General features: G+C 44.6%; 1 protein-coding gene across 4 annotated transcripts in view; it reads right to left on the bottom strand.

Moving 5' to 3' along the window:
- Window positions 1-12,879, bottom strand: part of ITPR1 (inositol 1,4,5-trisphosphate receptor type 1) — a 354,159-nt gene that overhangs the window by 38,265 nt on the left and 303,015 nt on the right. For all 4 annotated transcript variants that reach the window (NM_001378452.1, NM_001099952.4, NM_001168272.2 and 1 more), the window contains 2 exon segments: window positions 8,642-8,817; window positions 2,975-3,139 (listed from right to left, as the gene is read on the bottom strand). In NM_001378452.1, coding sequence (NP_001365381.1) covers window positions 2,975-3,139; window positions 8,642-8,817 — 341 coding nt within the window.

Below are 12,879 nucleotides of genomic sequence, written 5' to 3'. Positions count from 1 at the left end.
ATGGAGTATTTGAGTCAAATGGTATAAGAGAAACATTTTGCCTGCTGCTTTCAGAAAGGCAGGATCAGTTTACATTCACCACTAGTAAAGAATCATGCCCATTTTACCCCACTCTCACTAGTACTGGGCACCATCAGGCTTTTTAACCTTTACTAATGTCACAGGTAAAACACAGGATTGCGCTGTTTTAATTAGCATGTCTTTGTTTAGCACCAAGGATGAACATTTTTCCATGTTTACTGACCATCTGGATTTCTGCTTTTGTTAACTGCCTGCTTATGAACTTTGCACATTTTCATCTCCAGGTGTTAATATTTTTCTAAGGACACAGCTTTAATGCAGGCTCACGACCAGGTCCGGCCAGTCTTTGTGGGGGAGGGGGGGCAGCAGTTTAATTAGGCCACCAGATCACCCTCCCTACCTTCCGGCCTGCTGGCATGGAGGGAGCTCTCCCAACTCTGGAACACATGGGTGTTCCCTGCTCAGGTCTCTCTCCTTTTACAGGCAGCCCGATTTCTTTTGGTTGCAGGCTTTCCTTATTAGTAGAATAATTTGAAGTGTCAGTGTTTTCTGGTTCTTACCAGACACATTGAGTACTGCTTTGATACCAAAAGGAGCACATCACTTGAAGACACAAACAAGTCAAGGTCCACACAGCTTAGAAAATCCCCCCGCAAAGCACAGGAGAGGCAGCCAACCATAATCTGGTTTGATCCTATTGCGTTTCCTAAAAGTGAACTGAGGTAGCATGATCAGAAGCTGAGAGTTACTCTTATCTTTCTGTGATAGGTTGGAGACTTGAAAGCACAGATGCAAACTGGAACGTGAAATGCCAGTTTCACTGATGCAAGGACTTTTTCACATGCTTGAATAAAAGGCAGTGTCAACTTGGGAATCAACAGAGTTGTGAGGCTCTCCTGCCTCCACCAGTTACTGACAGTGTGACTCTGAGCAAGTTACCTAACCTCACCAAGCCTCAGTTTCCTCAGGTGTAATTGGAAGATACCATCTACCTCAAAGGTGGTAGTGAGAGTGTGTAGAGAAGAGTGCAGGGTGACCACTCACAAAACGGCTGTCCCTGTAATGTGCTCCTGACTGTGAGGCCTATGAGGGTAGGGACTGTGTTCCTCTCACCATTATGTGCCCTGCGTCAGGCACTGGCACTGGCCTGCATTGCAAGTGATGAAGAGAAGAGGACTCAAATGAACAGAAAAGAAGCCAAGCCAACTGGAGGCAGATTGGAGGAAAGGTCGAAGTGTCTACTGGGGCAAGGTGGCGTTGACCAAAGGGGCATCTCCTGTCTCTTGGGAGAGAGCCCTTGGCAGGGATGAGAGAGACCACCAACTGAACTCTGCCGCCCTCCCAAGGGAGGACAGGAATTTGTTGTCCAGGGACATGATGGCATGAGACAAAAAGTTCCAGAAACAGACGTAAGTCTCTAAAGGTTTCTGATACAAAGTGACCAAAATAGGCGACATAATGGGAATCACAAGGATATCCTGAGACCTCTTTGCCTAAAACCTCAAAATATAGCCAGACCTATTTTAAGATGAGGGAAAAGAATCCATTCCCTTTAGCCTGCCAAAATCCACCCCTAATGGTATGAGCTAATCCTAGTGATCTGAACGGTGAATTCCTTATGGTGTTTTGGACGGGGGAAGGAATATAGAATGACAAAGACAATAAAATAGCTGGCAATCATTCGGCAGTGCTATTCTAAGACCCTGACCTGAACAGCTGCATGTAATCCCTGTGACGGCCCTGTGAGGGAGATACACTGTTCTCATTTTGTAGATGAGGAAACTGTGGCACAAGGCAGTCAAGTACGTTAAGCGAAGGGAGCATCTCACACAGTTGCATTTTGTACTTTCAAATCTCTAACCTATTGCAGAAAGATAAGAGTAACTCCCAGCTTCTGATGCTGAACTGCTCCTCAGTTCACTTTAAGAAAACGCAATAGGATCAAACTAGATCGTGGCTGGATGCCTCTCATACGCGCTTCGGGGGGGTTTTCTAAGCATCTCCCTGAAGAGCTTCCCTTGCTCTGCCTTTTGTAAGCCCCCCTCTCTTTGTAAGCCCCCCTCTCTTTGTAAGTCCCCCCTCTCTTTGTAAGCCCCCCTCTCTTTGTAAGCCCCCCTCTCTTTGTAAGCCCCCCTCTCTTTGTAAGTCCCCCTCTTTGTAAGCCAACCCTTAGGCCTTGATCATTTTTGTCCTCACAAATATTTTAATATTCCTAGGCTGTTTATGGTGTTGCTTGCAGATAGGTCAGTTTTATGCTTCCTGTCATTTTATGTAGGCACAAGAAAATGGTTTCTTATCTACAACGCCACAGGTCTAGATTCCCTCCAACTACAGGAAAGTAAGTAGTTCCTTGATTTGTCATTTAAAAACCTGCTCAGGAGGAAGGTGATGGAACCAGCTTGTCTTACAGACTGTCAAGACATTAAGCACTTGGCTCATATCGGAGGAAAATGAGCTACTGAAAGGGTCTCCTAGACCAATAAATCTACTGAGCTCATGATCATGAATCCCGGGGCTTCAAAACTAGCTCCTACTCTTATGGTCGCTACACGTGTTCACAAGAAATGGACTCCCTGAGAGCTGTTGGATGACAGCCTCAAAAACACTCCTCTTGGTGTAAGTGCGGCTGAGTCTAAGAAGTAAAGAAAAACAAAGGTGCATGGAAAGGAAACATCTCCTGAACCTACTACAGGCATGTTCCATTACTGAGAAGTAACAGATCGGGAGTGCCCAGTACACAGTGCGGTTGTGTGACTCTTGAATTCCTGGGCTGACCCAATTCCTGTGGAGCTTTCCTCTCAGATCCCCCAAAGGCTGCCAACTGTGGAGCTTCAATCTTGGTGGACCAGGCACACCAATCACCATTAAAAGGAAGGGTCTGTGATGAGAGAGAGGACATAGGACACTCTCCTAGTTTCCCCACACATAAAATATTTCCACACCAGGTACTCACCAGCAGACTGTAGAAGAATTCATGGACAAAGAGCCCCATGGCACAGATCACCAGATACAACAAATGATAGAGGAACTCAACATCCAGAACCATGGCTCGGTAGCCTCTTGTGAATGTCCCACAGTTGCCCACAAAGCTCATTAGAAAGATGATTTTATTGCATACCTGAGAACAATGACAGGAACAGTCAGATGGCACGGACTGTGCCAAACTCTTCATGAGAGCAACGAGAGCATCTCACACAAATGTATTTCAGTCACCGTGCCCAAACAAACGCTTCCTTTTCCACCCGGTGCCCACCAAACCCGCCAAGACCCATTTGCAGATCTAAGTCATTTCATTACTTTGCTTTTCAGGCATATTACAAATTACATGGTAGTCAAATAACTTCATGCGCAACAGTAATCAAGTAGCATTTCTCTATGGCAAAAACAAAATTAACACATACTGAGATTATGATTTTCAAAATGAGATATGAATCATTTCTAACATTCTTGTATGAGTTAGTCAAACACAGAAGTCACCTCAATCCACGAACCCTGTGATCAGCATGATCAAAAGCATTTTCTGAATTTGTTACATTCTAGGCACTGTAAGGTGGCAATTTAATGAGCAGTGATCAGTTCTTGCCTTTCAATGCTCCTAAGTTCACAGGGAAAACAACAATTTTCTTGGGGGAAAAAAAATATAAGGGACTTCAGGATGAGTTCTATTCCCCTGCCCTCTCTTCTGGGAATAACTTCTAATTTTCCTTTGGGGACCATTCCTCTCTGAGTAGCAGTCTTTGAGGTCTGGGTGGGGCTCCAACCTGGCCATCACAATATTGTATTCCCCTGGGTACAATGACTGGTTTAGAGATAGACACAGGACCAAATGGAGCCAATGATGTCCACTGAGCTCTTTCTTGGGATTGCAGCCAAAGATAATTTTGTTCTTTCCCACTGACCTTGAACCTGAGCAGCTGTGAACTCTGGAGCTGCCACATTACCAACACTGAAGGCACCACCAGCACTGGGGACACAGAGCCAAAAGATGGCAAGGAGGAACTGGGCCCTGAGGACACTGTGTGAGCCCCTGTATCAGCTGTGCCTGAAGCGAGGCTGTTGGTTTCTTGGTCAAAATGAACCAATACATATTCTCCTTTGCTGAGGCTAGCATGGATTAGGTTTTCTGACATCTGCAACTGAAGGAGTCCTAACTGAACTACTGTGCAATATAGTCTCACCTTTGATAGAAACCCCAATGCCTGGAAGTCCATCTCTAGCAATATGTTGACAGAAAAACTTGGCTCAGGAGGAGGCCAGAGAGGGACCTCTCTGGATGCACTTGGTAAAACCATCTTCTGCTACTCTAGCTCCCTTGGCCACAGGTGCGGGGGAAATACTGCCAGTTAATCTGGTAGGTCGGTGTAAGTGAGCTTCTCGGCAATCAGATAAGCGAGGAAGCCGACACCCACAGATCGCTGCTGGCTTTCTCAGACAGGCTAAGCATTCAATCTGCCAATTTTTTCCAAAATTCTCACCTTTGCTAGTGGAGGGGATTTCAGAGGGTGGGAAAGTATCACTGATTCTGGATGATCCATGATGATGTGGTTTCAGGGAGAGGCAGATGGTGCCCTGGGTGACATCACACATTACAGCACCTCAAACACACCCCAGATCCTGCCAACTTAACAACAGGGTGATCCACTTCACCTGAGTCCATTCTCCCCTCTAACTTCTGCCCTAGTTTTCTCCATTGCTTCCCCAGGAAATAGCTGCTATTTGTGGTCTCAGCCTGCGGCTGGACTCTGCTTGTTAGTCTTAGATCTGGCTTCCATCCCCACCTCTCAACAGAGACAGCTCATGTGAAGTCTCCAAGGATTCTGCGCACCCAGCAGTCTTCCCGTCTGCTCTTAGCATCTTTCCCAGCTCCCTGCGGCGTGACAAGTCTCCCAGCGCACCCTGCTCACCACTCTCCCAGCTGGGCTTTAGGACCCCACCTTCTCCTCCTCCAGCTCTCAGAACTCCAATATTCTCTCTCTGTCTCCGTCCACAGGTACTTTCCCTCTCCCATACATTCCATGTGGGTGTTTCTCTCTTTTAAAATTCACTCTAGGCGGGGCATGGTGGCTCACGCCTATAATCCCAGCACTTTGGGAGGCCGAGGCGGGTGGATTGCCTGAGCTCAGGAGTTCGCGACCAGCCTGGGCAACACGGTGAAACCTCGTCTCTACTAAAATACAAAAAATTAGCCAGGCATGGCGGCACACACCTGTAGTCCCAGCTACCTGGGAGGCTGAGGGAGGAGAATTGCTTGAACCCAGGAGGCGGAGGTTGCAGTGAGCCGAGATTGTACCACTGTACTCCAGCCTGGGTGACAGATCGAGACTCTGTCTCAAAAAAAATGTAAAATAAAATTTACTCTAAATAATTATTTATTATAGCTGTTTGCCCCCTACCAGCTTATGTTGTTGTAAATGGTAATTAATTATCTCAGTTGAGTCTTTCCCCCAACTGATTTGTGTTAAAGAAGTGATAACTGTGGAATGATTATCAGAGAAGGCCAGAGAAGAAAAGAACTAGACAGCCCATAGAAGACAGCCTCTGAAATACTGAACATTTTTTCTACCTAGTTGTTTATGTAATTCTTTTGTATTTCTTTCTTAAATGGTTTCCTCTCACTGCAGGCAATCCCTACATTCCCCTCCCCACACTGATCTCTCTCTGTAGTTCTGGTCATGTATTTCCAAATGCCGCAGCTCACGTTAACAGCGTGTCTTTCCACCTGAAGCCCAGTAGGTCAACGATGTAAATGCATTTTCACCCTGAAAAACTAAATCTTTGCATGACTTCATTTTAGATGGCCACATTATTCTTCTCCCAATCATTTGTGACTGAAAATTTGGAGTCATATTTGCCTCCTTCATTACCCAATCAAGACAGTGATACCCTCTTTGTCTGAAAAAGGGACCCAGAGTGGCAGTATGGTTTGGTTCTGTGTCCCCCCCAAATCTGTTAACTTGTAATCTCCAGTGTCAGAGGTGGGGCCTGGGGGGAGGTGACTGGATCATAAATAGTTTAGCGCCACCTGTCCCGGATACAGTATAGTGATAGAGAGCTGGTTGTTTAAAAGCGTGTAGCGCCTCCCCATCCGCTTCCTCCTGTTCCAGCTCCAACTTTGCTGCTTTTACTCCGCCATGAGTGAAAGCTCCCTGAGGCCTCCCCAGAAGCAGATGCTGCCATGCTTCCTGTACAGCTGCAAAACCTCAAGCCAATTAAACCTCTTTTCTTATAAATTACCGAGTCTCAGGCATTTTATAGCAATGTGAGAACGAACTAATAGAAGCACATTGCTTTCTGGGTGGGGTAAGGCTCTGACTCTGTGCCCACCATGTGTTACTATTTCCTCATCTCTCTTTCTCTCTTTCTTTCTTTCTCTTTCTTTCTTTCTTTTTTTTTTTAATCAGTCTCATTCTGTCACCCAGGCTGGAGTGAAGTGGCACCATCTCAGCCCACTGCAACCTCTGCCTCCCAGGTTCAAGAGATTCTCGTGCCTCAGCCTCCCAAGTAGCTGGGATTACAAGCATGCATTACTATGCCAGGCTAATTTTTGTATTTTTTTTTAGTAGAGAGGGGTTTCACATGCATACTGGCCAGGCTGGTCTTGAACTCCTGGCCTCAAGCAATTTTCCCGCCTTGGCCTCCCAAAGTGCTGGGATTACAGGCTTGAGCCACGGTGCCCAGCCTGTTTCCTTCCCATTTCTGACGTCCATACCTTCCTTCTTTCTTCTACACTATGTCCAAGACTCAGGCTTCTCAAACCTAATCAAAGCGTCGCTACAGCCCCTAAAAAGCCTCCTTGCCTCTAGTCCCTCCTGATGAATCCACATAACAAGCCATACTGAATGCATTTTCTCAAGAATACTTCTTTGTATGGACCATTTCTTGGCTCAAAAACACCACAGGCACTTTCCACTACTGGGAACAGAGTTTCCAACATACATTCTATACAACACTAATCTCAAGTGATACTTACAAAAAACTGCAGGAAAATAAGTTTGGGAAACAGAAAGACACTGTTTTCCTTGGAGGTTCCTAATCCATATTAGTACATTAAAGTCTGTGAGGAAGCCTGCAGTAATGAAACCTTTCATTGTGTTTACCTCAGCATTTTTCATGCGGATTCAATCACGGAACCCTTTTTTCACCTCATATTTATCAACGTGGAATATGCTCTGGGAATGCTGACCTGGGGGATGAAGTCCAGTTGCTTTATCCTAAAATTCAGTGCTGCAAGTGACTTACACAGGATCAGTTCCTACTGATCACTACTGAACCACGAATGAGGTGAAACTCTTTATTTATTGTCTGTTGATAACATCCCGAGCTTTCCCACTGTTCTGCTCTGGCCTATGGGGCCCACGAAACCAAAGAACTCTTCTCAATCCCCGCTTCATGGCCAGATCCTCTCCATTCCCTTTTTTTTAAAAATTATTTATTTATTTGTTCATTTATTTATTTTTGAGATGGAGTCTCCCTTTGTCACCCAGGCTGGAGTGCAGTGGTGCCATCTTAGCTCACTACAACCTCCACCTCTCAGGTTCAAGTGATTCTCCTGCCTCAGTCTCCCGAGTAGCTAGGATTATAGGCGCATGCTACCAAACCCAGCTAATTTTTGTATTTTTAGTAGAGATAGGGTTCTGCCATGTTAGCCAGGCTGGTCTCAAATTCCTGATCTCAAGTGATCTGCTCACCCTGGCCTCCCAAAGTGCTGGGATTATAGATGTGAGCCACCGAGCCTGGCCCTCCATTCCTTAAGCCCTAACTTCCATCCTGCCTCCTCCCCGCTGTAAGCTTTTCAGCTTGACATGACCTGTTCTCTAAAGTCCTTGCTGCCTGTGCCATTTGAATACTCCCTTTGGGGCTTTTGCTGTTGCACTGAATTACTATATTATTTTGCGATATCACTTCCAGTTTTGCATGGGACCTCAGCTTCCTTATATACTCAGGGCAGAAACCCCTGGAAGGCATTTTTAGATCCTCCAGTGCCTCACATGTCCAAATTTTCTCCTTCCCTTCACAAGGAAACCTCTCCAATGTATGGTTTTATATCAGTTTGTCCTAAGAATTCTCCCAGAGATGAAATTGGCTTCTATCTTTCAATGGTAGTGAAACAGCATTTCTAAATGTCACCACTGACTTTTAAAGAATTGTCTCTGCTTCTCCTCTTCCCTCTCCACCTGCCCTGTCTCTGTATTTGGCCAGGCCCTCTTACCTATCCCCTCTTTTCTATGTGGCCCTTTCCAGAAGTGGGTACGGTGTTAATATTTGATCATTTCACTTATTGTCTAAAATCTTCTGTCCCAACAAACCTTTGACCAGATTGGCAAAACTAACTTAAATCTCAAAGCACTACCACTTTTTCTGCCTATCTCCTGACAGGGATAGTCCCTAAAAGTGAAAGTGCTGATGCCCAAGGGATCCATTACAAGGCTCACTGCACCACGCGGAGGTCAAGAGGGAGACGTCCACCTGCAGCCATCCCCTGCTTCTGGCTATTTAAACAGTTGCCCCAAACAATAATTTTCTGGACTGAAAGCACAGGCCAGGATTCTAGAAACCAGAGTGCAAGGCATTCCTATTAATCTGCAAACAAAACAGTGGCAAGGAAGGTATTCACACTTACATTGAAAGCGCCCAGAAGAAACAACGTGGGTTGTAACCCGACTGAAAATATCAGTCGTAGAATTGTGGAGGCAATTAAGGCCCGGATGCCATGGGGCTTGGGGAGGGCAATGACGATGGCCAGAGAGATGAGCATGGCTGTCCACAGGAGTCCCGACCAGTGGGGCTCCAGGGTTCCTGCAAGGACAAAACAGGGTTCTCTCACAAATCTGTGCCTTCACTGAGTACAGGGGACAGACCTAAAACATGCACTGTTACAGATTCCTCAATAACTTTTTTGGCTTACCAGTCCCAACTCTCACCTCAAATTCTCTGCCCCATCCATAACCAGTCCCATCAGCATTTTTTGACCTCCAAGCCTCCACACATGCTCCTTCTGCTGGGAAGTTCTTCCCTTCTCATTCATCTCAGGTCTTAGCTTTGACATTACTTCTTCCAGGAAGCCTCCCCCAATCCCCTTCCTCCCCACAAAAACATGTCAGGAGTTCCCTCCTCCTCCGTACTCCCTGCTTCCAGTCATCCCTACAGGACACTATTTCCTAATGGTCAGTTTACTTGTCTCTCTCTCACCAGATTGCACATTCCCCAGGGGAAGTACCTGGTGCCTGGCAGGTACTCACGAAAAGCTCGTTCGAGAAATAAAACTCATGCATGTGTCACACTTCACTCAAAGAAGGCGACGTGGAAGCCTAAACTTAATTTCTATTAAAAGTATGCAAAGGAAAACTGCAGGTCCCCTGCCTGAATCAGATTTCTCCAAGGGAAGGAGAAAGGCAACTTCCGTGTCATGAGCATCATGCTACAATTAGATTATCCCTGCAGTCAAAGAGCTTATACCAATTTTTGTCATCTCTTGCTACTGCAAGTTCTATTTAGAGTGTCCCACGAGACGGCTTGGTTATATAACATGAGCCAACACGGCTAAAAATATAGTTCTGTAAAACACTCATTAAAAAAAAAACACCCCTATTTCAAATGCTGTCACATTTTGAGTCTCCTTCAGATGTAAACAAGCAGCACTACATGATTAAGGCCACTTATATAAAGGAGCTTCACTTCTTCAGAGATGCTTGGATTGTGGCACCACTGGGGAGGAGACACCTTTGCAGGGCACAGCTCTTCCACCAGCTGCTGGCTGCCCTAGTTCATTGAGTCCACGCCTGCGGAGATTCAGCCTCACTTTAACAACTGTTCCCCCCAGCCCAGCCACTTACCTCTTCCCTTTTGAAATCCTTCAAAAGGCAAAGCTGATTGGGAATGGGGACAAAGAGGCAGAGGTTTCTCAGAAATTCAAGAAGTGCACATTGAGGCACATGTGCCGCTTTCTACGCATTTAACAATTGTTAGACATCGTGTCAAGCCCTTGATGTTGATGATCATTTATTCATCCTACTGTCCCCGGTCTACTCTAAAGGAAACTGAGTCTCAGGTTACATTTCTTGCCCAAAGTGATGCAGCAAATGGCTGCAGACCATTTGCCTCTGAAGTCGATGGTCCTTAATCAATATTTTAAAAAATCCATGCATTTTAAGTGTAAAATTTGGTGAATCTTGGCAGTTTATATAGTCATGTGACCACCGCATGTAATTGTCACCACAGTCAAGATACAGAACATTTTTATCACTCTAAAAGTCTCCTTGTGCCTCTTTGCAGGTGATGCCTTGCCCCATCCCTACCCCCAGCTACCACTGATCTAATAGTGTCAGTCCCTATAGCTTTGCACTTTCTAGAATTTCATAAAAATGGGAAAATAATCCTATCAGGTAGTCCTTTGTGCTTGACTTCTTTCACTGAGCAAGTTTTTAAGATGCATCCAGGTTACCATGTATGTATTGATACTTTGTACTTTTTATTGCTGACTATATTATAGTATGGATATATTACAATTTATTTGTCCAGTTAACAATCAATGAGTTTCCAGTTTGGAGTGATTACAAATAATGCTACTAGAAACATTCATGTTCAATTCTTGGAGTGGACATATTTTCATTTCACTTGGACAAACATAGAGAAGTAGAATGTTGGATCCTACAGATATGTTTAACTTTAAAAGACAATACCAAACTGTTTTCCAAGGTGAATGTATCACACTGCCTTCCCACCAGCCGTGTATGACAGTTCCATCTGATCCACAGCATCACCAATACTTGGCAGTGCCCATCTTTTTCATTTAGTCATTCTAGTAGGTTTGCAGTGGTATGGTGTGGTGATTTTAATTTACATTTCCCTGATAACTAGTGATGCTCAACATCGTTTCATGTGCTTACTGGCCATTCATACATCTTCTTCTGTGAAGTGTCTGATCAAATGCTTTGCCCACTGTTTTAATTGAATAGTTTTTTTATTGTTGAGTTGTAAGAGTTCTTTACATATTCTGGACATAAGCTTTTTATCAGATATATATTTTGCAACTATTTTCTCCCAGTCTGTGGCTTATCATTTTCTGAAATGCTTAATGCCATTTTAAATGGACTCTTAAGATGATCTCAGTATCATCAATGTGACCAGTACAATGTATGTCCCAAATCCTGAAGAGGCCAATGTAAAAATGCTGTCTCCTCACTATAACGGCAGTGTTAAAAAACATAGTGCTAGATTCCAAAAAATCAACTCTAGAAAGACATCTTTGAGACAGTTGGAGAAATCTGAATTTGGGCAGGCTATTACAGGATTTGCTGTTAGTTTTGTTAGATATGATAATGGCATGGTGATTATACATATTTTAAAATGTCCTCATAAGTTATACACTGAAATATTTATGGACAAAAAATCCAAGATGTCTAGACTTCTTTAAAATGTTTCAGAAAATATAGTATGGGGATAGATGAAACAAGATAGGCAAAATTGTTAAAGCTGGCTGATAGATATATGGTAGCTCATTATACTGTTCTTTCTACTTGTGTGTATATTTGACAATTTCAATAATAAAAACATTTAAAAAGTAGTACTACATTTGCTTTAGCCATCACGGCATGCTCACAAATTCAGTAAGCAATCTGAAGCTGCCTGAGTTGCACGCTTTTGAAAGACTGTAACTTGTCAGTTCTAAAACAAAGGTGGAGGGGCGGTGATACTTTTGAAAAGGAGCTTTTAAGGCCACTGGTTCTTGGCAGTTGCAAACCTTGTAAGCCACAGAACCACACAAAATCAGCACACATAATACGGCCATTATACACATTCAAGAGGGACATTATGAAATCTTGCCTTTAGGATGCAACAAATCCTAACACATATTAGCTCAAAGAAATACTTTCAGGTCAACAAACCAGATCTTGTTTCTAGGCAGGGTTAATACAACTCTTCTACTGAGGATGGTTAGCAGTGAGTATAGGAAATGCCCTCAATGCATCTTACAAAAGGAAAAAAGAATCCCTCTGAGAGTGAACTGATGCACTTAAGGCAGTATCAGCTACTAGATAATGGAAAAGGCTTCCTTGGGTCATATCAGCCTCAGGTCAAATCTCCTCGGAGCTCTGAATTATGCTCTCAGTTTAGTCCCTCAGCATGAAGTTCTAAAGCCCATGATTCCAAACCATGCATCCTTGCCTCCTGCAGACCAGCCTGAGTTGGTGGCTCATTCAGAATGCACCATTTTAGAGTTGGAAGGACCCTCGATAGTCATACCATCCAGGGGATCTCAAGCTTGGATGGGCAAGAAACACATGCTCTGGAGATCTTGACTAGTTTGCCAACTGTTCTTCCCCGGGTTCTACAGGATTTTCTGAAGCCATATCAAAGTTTTCTAACCATGGGCTTAATGTAAACATCTCTTCACATAAAGGATGACAAGGACTTGCTGAAGTGGCTTGCCCAGAGTGGCTTGGCAAATGGGCGGCAGGAGCCAGGCAGAGACCTTAAGTCTCTGGACTTCCTAAGTCTAAGAAAGGCACTGCAGGAGGCTTGTCAATGAAGGGTGGGGGGCTGTTAACTCCCTGTCCCCAGAACTGGCCTGAATGCTGCCACAAATGACCGGTGAAGAAAACAGACGTGGCGAATAATAAAATCTGTTTGAAATATTTTTAAGGCAATGGAGAGTAAATGAAAACACAGACAAGGTAAGGGTTGAATAATCTGCCGTGAGGAACATGACAACTTCCCTGAGGCGAAAGGAGACCTGGGCCTCCTCCGCCGCCGCCAGCTGAGCTCCTCACTAGCCCTCTGCCACGCACTCCTCTGCTGTCTGGCAGCAGGGTTAAGGTGGACATCCCCAAAGAGAAAACCTTGCAGCTCTGGGTTCTA

This window comes from Homo sapiens, chromosome 3, assembly GCF_000001405.40.
Source record: "Homo sapiens chromosome 3, GRCh38.p14 Primary Assembly".
Classification (NCBI taxonomy): domain Eukaryota; kingdom Metazoa; phylum Chordata; class Mammalia; order Primates; family Hominidae; genus Homo; species Homo sapiens.
This window is presented reverse-complemented; position numbering and strand designations above follow the sequence as displayed.